Below are 13,811 nucleotides of genomic sequence, written 5' to 3'. Positions count from 1 at the left end.
CATGGAAATGCAAATTAAACACAGTGAGACAGCAACCACAGCCGCTAGATTAGGAAACATTACAAATACGAAGAAACATTGCTAACAATATCATAGGCTGGCAAGGATGTAGAACAATGGGAACTTTAAAAACTGCTTGTGGGAGTGAAAATTGACACAATCATCTTGGAAAACAGTTAGAGCTGCAGATATGCAAACTCTGACCAAGCAATCCCACCCCTAACTATATATAAATAGGAGATATTCCCCATGTGAGTTATGGCATAGGAACAAACATGTTCGCAGCGGCATTCTTCATGATATCCAAACAATTGGGGGGAAAAAATCCTAATGTTTTCATGAAACTAATGTTTTCATAGTCTAGAACCTTGACCATGAACCAGCAACACAAATCCACATGGTTAAGTCCGAAAAACAATGCTGAGTAAGAGAAACAAGACACAAAATAATTCATACAACATGATTTCATTTATGAACATGACCAGGTATACACATCTAAATATTAAAACTACAAAGTAAGGCAAGGAAGTGATCATTACAAAAATTAAAAATAGAGGTGGCCTCCAGGAGAGGGGACTGGAATTGGGAGGTGTCGGGGGGTTTCAGGTGACTGAGTGTTGTGTATGCAGGTATTATTTAAACCGTACCTATATGATTCACACATTCTTTTACCTTTTGATGTATCTCACACACAGAAATGTAGGAAGACAAAAATCAGATTGCAGGGAAATTCAGAAAACCAGTCTGAAGCCAGGAATGTGCAATGAATGACCCTAAATCATGCATTCTAGAGGATCTGGCCCCAAAGAGAGACTATCTGGATGGCTCTACAGAGTGGTCACAAGCTTTGCTTCGCTTCATTATCATTTAATCCAGCCAAAGGCCTGTTAAAGGCTTTTGCTTTTAAGTAAAACTTGTCTCCTTTTAAAAGTGCCAATTTTTGGTGCCCTGTAATCCCAGAACTTTGGGAAGCTGAGGCAGGTGGATCACTTGAAGTTAGGAGTTCGAGACCATCCTGGCCAACCTGTTGAAACCCTGTCTGTACTAAAAGTACAAAAATTAGCTGGGTGTGGTGGTGCATGCCTGCAATCCCAGCTATTCGGGAAGCTGAGGCAGAAGAAACGCTTGAACCCAGGAGGCAGAGGTGAGTGCAGTGAGCCGACATTGTGCCACTGTGCTTCACCCTGAGCAGCAGAGCAAGTCTCTGTCTAAGAAAAAAAAAAAAAGTACCAATTTTCTCTTTTAAGTTTAATAAGAGTGTTAATCTTATAGAGTTCTCTTACTCATTTTTTTACACAGTTTAGATCAGATTTGTTCTCTACATGAGTCTATAGAGACTTAAGGTGAGCTACTCTATCCAACTGTTCCTTATTTGCCCGGAGAGCCTTTATCTTAAAAACTCAGTCATCAGAGCAAGAAACATAGCAGACCACAACCCAATGCCTCTTGAATAAGTAAAAGTATTAACACATCTTCCAGAGTCCAGGCATAAACTTCATGCAGTTTCCTTGTAGAAAATACCTTCCTGCTCTTATTTGAGCCTATTAACTCTACTCTTATTTTAAATATAAATCTAACATGCTCAGCCATCTGTTTCCAAGAATACATCAGCTAAGGAAGGTAAAAGTGAAGAAGGACTGCTCTAGCCAGTGACAGTTAAAAAGCTCACACTGTGAAAGAAGAGAGAGGAAAAAAACCTCTCAATTCTCCTAAGCTTCTGGAGGCATTTATTGTAGAGACAGCAATGAAATGTTGAATTAGAAATTGACCCAACCCCTTCTGTAAGAAATCAGGAATAAGTACAGTGCACCATAAATAATTGCCATCAAATATTTAGCAAAATGTGTTCAAAAGAGTAAGTTTAATATCTATTTTCCTGCAAAGGATAAGTCATTTTGTGAGAAGGCTAAAAATGTCCATTGAATCCAAGTCCCAATGAGTATATGTGCATGCATAGATACAAATATGTAAATACATATGCACAAGTACATGTACCTGTACACAGACATATATGGGAAAATATTCACTTATTGTGCGTGTGGCCGGGGCGTTGGATCCCATTAAATAATTCTGGATTTGGTTGGAATTCACCCCGTTAGCTGAACAATTCCGGAACAACTGCATCCTCAGCACAAAATGACCTTTTCATCAAGTTACAAAACATTAAAGGTTAAAGGATGTTTGAAAGGAAGTTAATACTTTTAAAACATTGGGAGAATGGCCATCTTTTCAGAGATCTGACCAAAAATGTGAAGGAAGCATTGGACGGCCTTTCTGGCAGTTATTTGCGGGCGGGTGTCACACGTTTGCACTGCCTGCTCCTGCTGAAACCATGAATGAACCTACCTCCTTAGGAAATGAGATGAGATGGGCCTGTGCTCCGCATAGCACAGGAGCTCACGAGAGGACTCCTTAGCAGGCTGGTTCCTAATTGCAAGTTTGAAGTCACATTTCTTCCTCTCAAGAGTGGTGATGGCAAAGAGAGCAAATCAATGAGACTGTCAGATTTTCCCGCCTTCTATTTTCCATCTGACCTGGATGGTGCAAATTCCAGTCGCTACTAACAGGGAAAATAGAAATATCAGTCACCAGACCCCTTCCTCTAATGAGCTCACAGAAAGGCCCGGAAGAACCTGACTTATCAGCCCTGCAAATGCCCAATCTTCCCAGAAAGTCAGGTGGACTGCATGCTGCCTTCAGCCATTCTCTCCTGTCTTTCTTTTTCACCACATTCTAAGCACCTGCTTGTAATCTCAGGTGCATCCAGGCTCAGCCCAAATATAAGCCTTTATTTTCAGGGTGGTCTGGCCCTGTGGCCACCCTGCACACCAACTTAATGGGGTACCATTTATTGGACAACTAACATTCTTCACCAAGCTCTCTGCCAAGGCATGGACACACATAATCCCAGATGAGTCTCACAAGTGCCGTGGGAAGTAGACTCTACTGTGACTTGCCCACGGGCACACGGCTAGTGACACAATGCCTCTTTCAAACTCTGGTCTGACTCTGAAAGCTTCCAGAATGTAGTCCCAAAAACCCATGGGTTCAAGGGGCATCTCTATTTCTCTATTTTTTGTTTTTTTGAGACAGGGTCTCACTCTGTTGCCCAGACTGGAGTGCAGTGGCACTATCTCGGCTCACTACAGCCTCAACCTCCCAGGCTCAAGCGATCCTCCTGCCTCAGCCTCCCAAGTAGCTGAGATTACAGGTGCATGCCACCATGCCCAGCTAATTTTTGTATTTTTTGTGGAGAGAGGGTTTTGTCATGTCACCCAGGCTGGTCTCAAACTCCTGGACTCAAGTGATCTGCCTGCCGCAGCCTCCCAAAGTGCTGGGATTACAGGCATGAGCCACCACAGGGTCCATCCAAGGCATCTCCAATTTTGATGGAAGGTTTCCACAATGAATTCCTACTTGGTGTTTAAGATGGAGAAAGCTGTCCTGTTTTAGAGATGGAGACAAGGTTCAAAGAGAGGGAGTGACCTGCTCAGGCTCACTGGGTTACTTATGGGCCAGAGGCTCAGCACCACAGTTGGAGCTTGCATTCCCCCGCAAGGTACCGCTTGCTGCACATATATCCATCTGCGGGGCACACCCACTGTGGGTGTGATCCTTACAGTTACTCACTGATACCTATCTCCTCAGATAAACTGACTAGCTTCACTCTCTTGGTCCTTCACCTGTCATTTACTTCCTCATTCACCGTGCACAGTTCAGCTGAGATAGGACTGTATGCACAGCTGGATGACAGCCAGCCTTCTACTTCTTTCCTGCTTTCACTGCTTACCTTCTTGTCCCTATATGGGCTCTAGATACAGCATCCTCAAGGTGGAGAAAGAGAGAGAGAGAGAAAGAGAGAGGCTTGCATTTCTGCACATTCTAGACAGGAGTGACTCTTTAACGAATTTCACTGTTGGAGGAAGACTCTGGTCCATTTTCAAGTCTCAGGTGAGGCCTGAGGATGGGGAGGAGGAAGGAGGGCTCCCGGGTTTCCAAGATAGGTTTCCCTGCCCTGTCGTATAAGTTGACTCAGCCATCTAGGAAGGGTCCTACTCCTTCCTTAGGCCTCCTCCTGATGGGAACCCCACCCCAGGTCCTAAAATCAGCCAGGATGGAAGATTCTCTTAGAAAGTAGAGAGGCCCCTTTTGTACCTCTGCCACCAGCTGTTTACCCCATGCATTCCCATCAAGACTGGGGCCAGACCCTCTTCTCTTCAGCCAACACACTCCTCAAAACTCCAAACGATATAAAAGCCTTCTTAGGAATTAACATCCTTTGGGCAACATACTTTGAAACTATTGATAATATATATAAGGTGATTGAGAGTAAAAATTCACTCTCTCACACATGTGTGTTCAGCACCTACTCTTTCCGCTGTGTGTATTTACACACAGTTAGTGAGCCAGCCTGGGCCAGGCTCTGAGTGGTCCTATCCCCAGGTTCTCCTTGGTGAATGGGCAGGGGAGACTGGCTGCAGATGAATGACTTGCTTTGACTATGTCTGGGGAAGAGGTACTGAGAGGGCTGCTGACTGGAGTGCCGACCACCTCCCGCAGACCCTTTTGGCTGGTAACAGAGATGGGGATCGAGCATTCCCAGAGATAGCTAGGAACCAACTCCAAGCCCTGCTGAGCTGGAGAAAGAACAAGGTGTTCAGCATCCCACAGCAGAGTAAAGAAAAGCAACTGCACTTCTAAAAATTCTGCTTTAAAGGCAAGTCCATGTGGTGCTACAGTAGCTCTAACAGGCACAGCCTAGGGATCTGGCATGGGATGGAATATGGGGTGGGGGAAGGGAAGAGATGATCAGCGGACAAGAGACATCCACTGTTCTTTGGCTCCCATGCAAAAGTCCCCGTTGAGTCAGGACCTCCAGGAAGAGCTGGGCCTGGTTCTGGTGGAGTCAGAAGTGGTCTCATCACCGAGCCAATCTCCCCCATGTGAATCTGCCCTATCTTCCTGGCTGAGCACCTACCTAACCATGGCCAGCGCCTTATGCCTTATGTATATCCCTTTTTGCCCCCTCACTGGAGCTGCCTTGAGGCCTGGGTGCTTCTTCCAGAAAGCATTTTCCCAGGTGAGAAGTTCTGCCGTCTGAAGCCAGCCTCCAGGCACTGCCTGCCCCTGCCTAGGCTCCCACAGCTTACCCAAGGTTTGGGGCTCCAGGCAGGGTGCCCTCCAGAGTGCCCTGGCCTGTGAGGGTGCAGGGTCGTTGGCTCAGGGCAAGATGGAAAGTTTGATATATCTGCTCCACCATTTCATTATCAGAGGGCCTTTGGGAAAGCTGGCCATGTGGTCTGCGGTGGGCAAGAATCTTGTCTTAAAGCTAAGTCAACAAGAGCAAATACACGTTTTTAACTTAAGTGATGGGTTTGTTAGGGGAACCTAGAGAAGGTGGTTGGGCGAAGGAGGCTGGAGCCTTTCTGAAACCCCTCCTTGGGGTCACCATCCACTTCTGCAATCCATCAACACTTTTAAGGGCAAGAGGCATGCGGAGACGCTGCTGTACGCCTAGTCAACGAGGCCAGCCGGAAAGCCTCCTGGGGCCGCGAAGCACCACCCAGACCCCACCATCACCCCTCCCAAACCCCCTTGCATCCCAAACCCCCAACCCCCCATCTCGTCTTTTGGGCCAGAGCGGCCGCCCGCGCTGTCCCGCCTCCAGAGGGCGCTGACGGAGAGGTGGTAGCGCCCGCTCCCGCCGCCGCGCCAAGGGGCAGCCCCAGGGACTCCACCCCTACTACCGCCACCCAGCCTAATTTGAATATTTCATTGGCTGCCGCCAGTCTGGTCAATTTATCATGCAAATGTGGGTGCCCTCCGCGCCAGAGAGGAGCCATCGCCCGCGCAGGAAAGCGGCGCCCGATTGGTGGCCGAGACAGCGGCATTTGTAATATTTTTCTTTGGGCATTAGAGTCATTTACCAATGCCATCCCCGCAACTCCAGGCACTGAATCACAAGCCACTTAAAGGGTTTTATTGGCAGCTTCGAAACTTCTTAACATGCTCTTTTATTTCAAACCAAGTGTCAACCTATTTCTGACCTCCCTCCCTTCCCCTCACCTAAAAAAGCTGCAAAAAACTCCAAACTACTTTGTTCCCTCACTATTTGCACGCGGTAACAGCCTCCGTCTTGCCACAGGTAGAAGGACTGGACCTGTTTGGGGCTAGCACTTGGTAGACCTTAAATAAATAACCTTTGAGAAGTCTTATAAAGGTGGAGGAGGGACTGTTGGAAGAGAGGCACACAAAAAGAAAACAGAAAAAGAAACGAAGAAAGAAATGGGGAAAAGAGAAGAGGCGGCAGAAAAGGGAGAAGGCAGAATTTAGGACTGCTCTGCAAAGGAGGAAAATCTTGGTGTTATCAAAGCCCTGGAGATCAGAGACTACCTGCATGCTATATTATCTAACCCTTCGGGCCACCATGTCCCCAGTCACCCTGGCCCTCCTATTGCCGAACTAAGGTGATATCCATCAAATTTCAAGAAACAAAAACGTGAAAGAATGAGGCCCCCAGAGTGTTGTCCCTCTCTTTTGTACCTGCCCTGCAGAAACTTAGGCTCCGTCTTCCCCGTTTGTAAATTGTAAATTTAGGGACAAACACAAAACCCTAACGTTGAAGACAGAGGAGAAAAGCAATGTAGGAAAGAAGAACTGGGAAACGTGATTATTCCTGGTCTTGCAAATTCCCTGGCCAGTTAATGAGGTCACCAGCCTCAGAAAGCTGGGCTATCTGGTCGGCTAAGACCTGGTGGAATCCTCCTCCTTCAGGATTCCAGCATTCAAAGAGCTGGGGTTCAGAGCCGCATCAGGTTGCCCACGTAATGATTCAGATACCTGCAGTGCGGGGCAGCTGGCGCAACCACACGGGAAGAGTTGGGCACCCCTGAGCTACAACTAGCAAATAGCTGCTCGCTCCCGACCAGGGGTGAGCCCCTAGGTGGCTGCAGCTATCTCTAGTGTAGGGATCCCCCCACCCTTATTTTTAGCTCTGCTTAAATGGTTTCCAAAAATCCATTTCACCCAAAGTGGGGTGGCGGTGGGGGTGGGGGTAAACCACGCCACGCTGCAGCGAGGAATTCGTGAAATTCCCAGCGCAACCCAAGTCGACGCGTGGGATTTGATAAAAGGGCATTTCGCCTGGAGTTAAGCGCTCCAAACTGAGTTTAATGTGCATCTGTCCTCCTTAGACTGAAATACAAAGACGTTTTATTTTCTTTATTTAATCTTCGCTCTCCTAAAAAAAAAGTTTTTGAAAGTTCCGTAGATGATTGAACGAAAGAGAATGAAGGAAGAAAGAGGTATCTGAAGATGTGAGACTCAGAGCACTGGAAAGCTTGGGGAGAGGGGAGGGAGCAGAAAATCGCCATCTCCTGTCTTGGGAAACCCGAGAAAGTGGCCGCTATGACTCACAGGACCAGAAGGTGGGTTTCTAGGCAGACCTGGTTTCCCTCTCCCCACACGCCTGTGATAACCGTACTCCTTCCTTCCTTCCCTCCCTCTTTTAGGTGTATTGTTAAGTGGGTCTTTTTTTTTAAGGTGTTTATAACTGCCTGGAAATCCTAAATCGGAAAAAATGAGGCATTGGAGAGGGGGACCTGCAGGCTGTGGCTTCCTAGACCAGGTCGGCTTCCACCCCAAGTTCTCCCGAATCGAGTGGTGCCCAGGAGTTAAGGGTGGGCCAGACAGGGGCACCAGCTTCCACCCTGCTCTGCCCTGGCCCCGGCCCCGGCCCCGCACACTCAGGCATCAAAGCTGCCCCGGGAAGAAGATCGAAGGCCCCTTTGCCTTTCAGTCAGGCGGTCCTCGTGGAAAACGGCAGCGGCATGCAGTGGACACAGTCTGCAAAGTTGAGCTACATCTCTGTGCCCCAAGCCACAAGAAATTTACGAAGTAGCAAGCTATGCCTGGTTGGAGGAGGGCTGGGAGTGCGTACTCTGGTGTGACAATGCGTGTGTGTGCGCCTGTTTTGGGAGTCGGGGAGGCACTTCACCTCCCCCAAACCAATTCTTGACCTTGGGCCAAGAGAAGCCCCCTACTTCTCTCCAAAGATTGTACTCCCACCCCCAGCTCCCATCCAGGCACACCTGACTCAGCTCTCCTGAGGCCCCACAGAAGTGGTATTAATATACTCTTCTGATTTTCGAAGGTTTATTTCACGTCAAAACTGGAAAAGTTCTTGGGAGAATTTACAGACAAAACATCTGGTTCGTTAAAACAAAGCTACCGGTAAAAGAGAAACAAACTTCGCCGCCGTGTAAATGCACTTTTAGCAAACAATTTACCACCTGGCGAGGGCCAGGGTCCCTATCCTTCCTGCTTGGGCAGGGGCTGAGATTCCGGGGCCCAATTCCTGGTTCAGGTGTGCAGGTGGCAAGCTTCCCTGAACCCAAGGCACCTCCTCGACACTGCCTAGCCCAGAATGTGGTGTGGGGAGGCGTGAGGAAGGCGAAAAACCCATATGCCAGCATTCCAGGTGAGTGCAGGCAGGAGGGCACCCACCTGGTGCCTCTCTCCCCTGGTGCTGCCCAGCCCTGGGCTCCCTAAAAGCCTACACCTTGGGCAAATGCCCTCACACTTTGAAAGGGGGTACAGCCTCCCAGAGGGTACTACTCAGAGTGCCCAGTCCCTCCAGGTGGCCCAAGCCTCCCTCCGAGAACCTCTCCAACATCAAGGCTTAAGCCCTGGGTGCCTGGGACCTGAGCCCACTCTAGCTCCTCATCTTGTAATGGTAGCTTTGAAGACAACTTCTTTCCCTTAAGTCTTTTCCCTCAGTGGCCACCCCAGATAAGGACAAGACTTGGCCTTCTTTGGGTCGAGTTGTCACCTACTGCCCTCAATCGCCACCTTAAACACAACCTCGGCTGCCTCCCGGCGGTGGTTTGGCTACTCCTTTCTGGCACAGACTTCGTGACTTTGTGTGGTGTGTTGCGAGCCAAGTGCCCGTCCCCACAGCACACACCTGTTCCTAGCCTTGCCTGCATGTGACTTTTTTCTTTCTCTCTCTCTTTTAAAAACTTATCCGGGCAGAGCTCCCGGTAGCTAAGGTCATGAATGATCCTGGGGTGGGGCACAGGTAGCTCTGGGGACAGATGTCCCGATTTCCTTGAGTTCAAAAAGTCTGAGGCAGATTTCTAACCCCTGACCTGAAGCAGCTTCATTTGGGAGCTTTTCTACTGATTTTCTACTGATTACATAGCACCACTATGGAGGAGGAGCGGGATTCCACCGGGCCTGAGGTGCAATCGTGGGGGTCAGCACTGCCTTCATGGCCCTGGGGGATGTTTGGGGATCACAAGGTTACCACCCAGCTATTGGGTGAGCCAGCTGGCTGCCATGCGACTGCCAGTTTCTCCAATGGACATTTGCACCTCGGTGTTTCGGTGAGTCGTCCCACCGCCTTTGCTCATTTTTCCTCCTTCTATTTTTAGGGTTTTTTTTTTAATGTTCCCGGAAAGGCGGCACCTCCCAAAGGTGGGGACATCTCACTGGCCTAGGGGCTTACTTTTCAGAGTGACTCAGGCGGGTAGAAGTTACTAGGGCTGGCAGGGCCAGAGCCTGTTGTTTTTCAAAGATAATCTGCAACTCTGAAGAGTGGGGTGAAAAGATTTCTACACAGTGTACATTCTACAGAATTCTAGTTTCTCCGCGGGCGCAGACTTTTCCGCCCTCTAGTCTAGCGTGAAAACAGTTCGACCACTGGATGTGGGCGGCGAAGCCCGCACCCTAGAGCGCGGTGTCTCCCTGCAGGAGGGAGCTCCAGCCCGCGCCGCCGCGGCCGCTTCTGGCCTCCTCGGGAACCGAACCGAGCATACCTCAGTGCTCTCCTAGAAGCGGCTCCTTTTCCCCTTCTTACTCGCGAATGGCGAAATGAATAGCCGCGCGGGATTTTACCCGTTTGTGTAGTGGACTCTGAGGGGGCACCAGGTACCGAGACGGAAATCTTTGCGGTAAGAATAAAGTCAGGTAAAACGCCTGGTACAGCCGCCCTGCAGATGTCCCAAGAGTAGGTCCCCCGTACACTCTTCCCATTAAGTTCTTAGGGGGAGGACAGGGAAGGCCCTTTGGTCTGGCTGGATTGATCAGGGAGGTATGCGCATATGTTTGCCCTCTGGACATTTGGGGAGGGGTTATGGGGGAGTTGAAGGCAAGAGGCAAAATCAGGTAGAACAAACAACTACAGCCAAGAGCGGCACTCTCGGGGAATGGGCACACGGAACTCCGCGCAAACCTCTGGCTTCTCAAACCTACAGCCCTGCCCTTTCTCCCTTTGTAAACAAAATGTGAATTACAGACTTACTGCCATCCAGACACTATTTCTCCCTAAATCTGGCCCTTAGTTCTCACTGGGATCCACGTTTTCCTCCGCTCTCCAGCTCCTCTCCATCAGGCCATGTCACACACAGCAGCCAGGCGGGGCCAAAAAGTTTTAGCGCGAGACCTCCTGGCTAAAACCTGGCCAGCGACCTCGACAACACATCCTAGGCCCAGGTGAAGGGGGTTTAAGCCCTTGCATCCAGGTAGCTTCCGGTTCTGCAGTGTGCTTGGTGCGGATTTGGGAAGTCTCCCTTCCTTCTCTCCTAGCCACACCCAGCCCACACAAGGGCAGAGAAAACCTGGTGGAAAATAATGACTCGGGCGACACTGCCCCTCTTCCTTCAATTCCATCCCTACAATGGTCTGCAAAACTATTCATGTTTGGGGGTCCAGATATTAAGTGGGGGTGGGTACATGTGGCTGAAAGAACACAGATTAGGCCTTCAGGCTGTGCCAAGCCAGGCCGGGGGCCTTTTTGCGTGTCCCGACATGGCAGTATGGTTGCTGCGTGCACTCCGCATAGCCCGTGTTGTGCGTGGCGGGCTGTCGCTGCAATGTGCAGCCCATTGACACTGATGGATGCGCCAATGGTTGGACGGACAGATGTTAGGGCGGATCGCACAGCGCTCGGCGCCTGAGCGGGGGAGGGCCAGGCAGCGACCCAGCGGCGGCGGCCGGCTACGCGGAGACCCGAGTTCAGGCCGCGGCCCGCAGTGGGAGGGGGCCGAAGGAACAGAGGTTTGCAAGAACAGCGAGGGGATGGAAAGGAGGAGAAAAGCGCGACCAGGGAGAACTACACGCTTCCGTGTGCGGCGCCCCGCGCTGTGCACACGCCGCACCGGGCGCGCCTAAGTGGGAGCTTCGAAGGTGAGCTGGGAGCCGGCGGGAGCTGACCCCGTGCGGCGCAACCCGCCTCCAGGCGACAGGAGCTCAGCGCGGCCACCAGAATGGTGAGGCCGCCGGCGGTGTCGGCCAACTCACCGTTTCCTCGCTTGCAAGAAGCGTTTCACGCTCCACGGCCGCGTCTCCCCGGCCTGGAGGAGTAGCGGTTCTGGCCTCTGCGGCCGCGGGCACCCAACGCGCACGGCGCCTCAGCCCCCGAGTCCGCCAGCCCGAGAGCCCCGCCGCAGCCCGCCTCGGACTCCCTGCCCCGCCTGGGGTCCGTACCCCACAACTCCGAGCGCTCCTGCGCGCGGAAAGGCGCTGGAGGCGGCTTTATAGCCGGGGAGGCCAGCGGCGGCGCATCTGCATCCTGGGAGACGTCTGGACCCAGCCCAAGCCCGCAGGCTGGGCGAGCGGAGACTTTTGATCTTACCGTGTGGGTGAGATCACTGTCTCCCGGTCTAAAAGAAAAGAAAGCATGCTGTGAACTTTTGAAACAAACTTGCAAAAACAGTCGTAGAGAAAAAATAAAAAGGACACAGGGCAGAAAAAGAGGGAGAAAGAGACTAAAAAAAGAAAAAGATAAGGGGAGGGGGAAGGAAGGAAGGAGAGAAGGAGGAAGAAGTCTGGGGTTTGCTGCTCCAGGAGCGCTCAGGCAGCCGGTGCTGGAGCGCGGGGCGCCCGCCCTCGCCGGGACTGTCGGCCTCGGGGCCTGCGAGAGCGCCAGAGCCCCAGCCGGCGCGCCCGGGCGCAGGGCCGCCTCGGGGATAGTGGGCCCGGAGGCCGCCCCCGCGCTCCAGCAGCCGCCGCCCGGCAGCGCCCGGAGCCGGCCCCGGCGCGGCCGCCCCATTCCCGGCCTGAGAGCTGGCCCAGGGAGACGCAATCGAGCCCGCAGCGCATCGATGCGCCGCCGCCCGCGCCGCTCGGGCTCCGGCTCCCGCTCAGCCGCCGCCGCCCGGGGGTCGCCCGCATGAGCTCCGGCCCACCCGCGCCCTCACCGCCGCCCGTAAGTGAGCCCGCGTCGCCCCGCCGCCCACGCCGCCCAGCCAGCTCCTTCTTGCCGCGGCCAGTCGGCCGGGCCGGCCCGGAGCCTCAGCGACCCCGATCACCAATCAATAATCAATCCCTCTAGTCCAGCAGCCCCGGCAGGCCGGGCGCGGGACACGGCGCGGCGGCCCCCTAGGCTCTCGGGGGGAGCCCCTGGCGGGGGATGGGCAGGGGAGCCCGGTTTCCTTCTCCCGCCCCCGTCCCGCCCTAGGATCGGCCCGCGCCGTGGATGGGGGGCGCGGCCCGGCTCCCGGGGGCGAGGGGCGGGGTGGAGGGACCCTGATCATCCCAAAGTCAGGAGAGGAAACTTGAAGGAACCCCCTCCCACACCGACCCCCGGGACGGGCCCAGGAAAGTTTGTCCGGGGAAAAAAAATTGGGGGAAGTGGCTACGGCGGGTCCTGGGGGAGGAGCTGGGTGGCGCGGGGTCTGAGGGCTGCCCCCACCCGCCCCGGCCCGCGCCCGCCTCCTCCCTGGAGGGGGCCTGCCCGTGGGCTCTGGCTTCCCCGGGGGACGCCAGCCCCGGCCCGGGGACCACGCTGGGGGCTCCGGAGTCGGCGGGTGGAGAGGAGTGCGAGCCGGGTGGGGCAGCTGGGGGGTGGCTGGGGACGAACGCTGGGTGGGAATAGGGGTGGGGGGTAACGAGCGCCCCGGGACGGGCTCGGCGGGGCTGGCGCCGCGCCCCCGCGTGTGCGCACGGGGCGGAGGCGGAGGGGCGGCACCCCTTTCGCTGGCGGGGCGGGGGTCCCACGCGGGCCTGGGGCCGGGGGCGGGGGCGCGGCGCCCCCGCGGGCGGGCGATTGACACGATCATCTCCTTTTCCTTTAAGCTTGCCTGTTGCCGACGCCGCCGCTCCAGCCGCGCCACGGGCAGAAGACTGGACCGCCGAGCCCCGGGCCGCGGCGGCGGCTGCGCGTCCCCCCGGATGCCGTGACCCCCGGCCTAGGGGCGGGGGCCGGGGCAGTACCGGTCCGGGCCGCTCCCGCGCTCCTCCTCCCACCGCTCTGCCCGCCCTCTCCCCGCCCCCCAGCCCCGAACCCCGCGCACCTCGTCTGGGGACGGGGCGGGGGGGGGCAGGGCCGCCGCTCCTCCCCGCCCCCTCCTCCTCTGGCCTCTGGAGCGATTTGTCAAACTTCCCATTCCGCCGGCAGCGCGGTCCTCCTCCTCCTCCTCCACCTCCTCCTCCTCTGCCTCCTCCTCCCCCCCGTGCTCCTCCCTCCCCGAGCCTCCCTCGCCCGCCCTCCTTCTTCCCTCCGCACGTTCGGGGTTCGCGGCGGAGCGCGGCGCGGGGGGGACGCGGAGAGCCTGGGCGCAGCAGCATCCTGCGGGCGGCCGCTCTCCGGGGGGGAGGCTGAGAGCAGGCCCGCCTCGCCCCCCCGCGGGCCCGCCGCCCCCTCCCTCCCTGTCCTCAGCCCGGCAGCGGCGGCGGCGGCGGCAGTGGCAGTCGCCGGAGAAGCATCATGCCGAGGAGGAAGCAGCAGGCGCCCCGGCGCGCAGCAGGTACGAGCCGCTTCCCCTTCCTTCTGCTCTCCTCCTCCTCTTCCTCCGCTCGCCCCGCGCCTC

The 13,811-nt window shown here is 54.5% G+C and overlaps 1 protein-coding gene and 1 long non-coding RNA gene across 8 annotated transcripts in view, besides 3 other annotated features; one reads left to right on the top strand and one right to left on the bottom strand.

Moving 5' to 3' along the window:
• The window catches only part of TSHZ3-AS1 (TSHZ3 antisense RNA 1), a 101,016-nt gene that overhangs the window by 59,919 nt on the left and 27,286 nt on the right, over window positions 1-13,811 (bottom strand). For 2 of the 3 annotated variants that reach the window (XR_001753896.2, XR_001753900.2), the window contains exon 1: window positions 11,302-11,510. The exons of the other annotated variant lie outside the window; for it this stretch is intronic. This is a non-coding gene — a long non-coding RNA (TSHZ3 antisense RNA 1). Of the gene's footprint in view, window positions 1-11,301; window positions 11,511-13,811 lie in introns of those variants that run through there. 3 annotated transcript variants of the gene reach the window in all.
• Window positions 7,698-8,341: an enhancer, noted in NCBI's record as "H3K4me1 hESC enhancer chr19:31845493-31846136 (GRCh37/hg19 assembly coordinates)". NCBI's record gives its function as "activates a minimal SCP1, AML or CMV promoter by ChIP-STARR-seq in naive and primed H9 embryonic stem cells {active_cell/tissue: H9 hESC(naive and primed)}" and the evidence as "EXISTENCE:reporter gene assay evidence [ECO:0000049][PMID:30033119]".
• Window positions 9,284-9,783: an enhancer, noted in NCBI's record as "H3K4me1 hESC enhancer chr19:31844051-31844550 (GRCh37/hg19 assembly coordinates)". NCBI's record gives its function as "activates a minimal SCP1, AML or CMV promoter by ChIP-STARR-seq in naive H9 embryonic stem cells {active_cell/tissue: H9 hESC(naive)}" and the evidence as "EXISTENCE:reporter gene assay evidence [ECO:0000049][PMID:30033119]".
• Window positions 9,784-10,285: an enhancer, noted in NCBI's record as "H3K4me1 hESC enhancer chr19:31843549-31844050 (GRCh37/hg19 assembly coordinates)". NCBI's record gives its function as "activates a minimal SCP1, AML or CMV promoter by ChIP-STARR-seq in naive H9 embryonic stem cells {active_cell/tissue: H9 hESC(naive)}" and the evidence as "EXISTENCE:reporter gene assay evidence [ECO:0000049][PMID:30033119]".
• Window positions 12,051-13,811, top strand: part of TSHZ3 (teashirt zinc finger homeobox 3) — a 201,002-nt gene continuing 199,241 nt past the window's right edge. For 4 of the 5 annotated variants that reach the window (NR_138035.2, NR_138036.2, NR_138034.2 and 1 more), the window contains exon 1: window positions 13,492-13,748. Coding sequence is in view for 2 of the 5 variants with exons in the window: in NM_020856.4 (NP_065907.2) it covers window positions 13,709-13,748 (40 nt within the window). In the remaining 3 variants the exon portion in view is untranslated. Of the gene's footprint in view, window positions 12,209-13,077; window positions 13,749-13,811 lie in introns of those variants that run through there. The other variant, XM_047439132.1, reaches the window with a different exon arrangement.

The sequence above is a fragment of the Homo sapiens genome, chromosome 19 (assembly GCF_000001405.40).
Source record: "Homo sapiens chromosome 19, GRCh38.p14 Primary Assembly".
NCBI lineage: Eukaryota > Metazoa > Chordata > Mammalia > Primates > Hominidae > Homo > Homo sapiens.
This window is presented reverse-complemented; position numbering and strand designations above follow the sequence as displayed.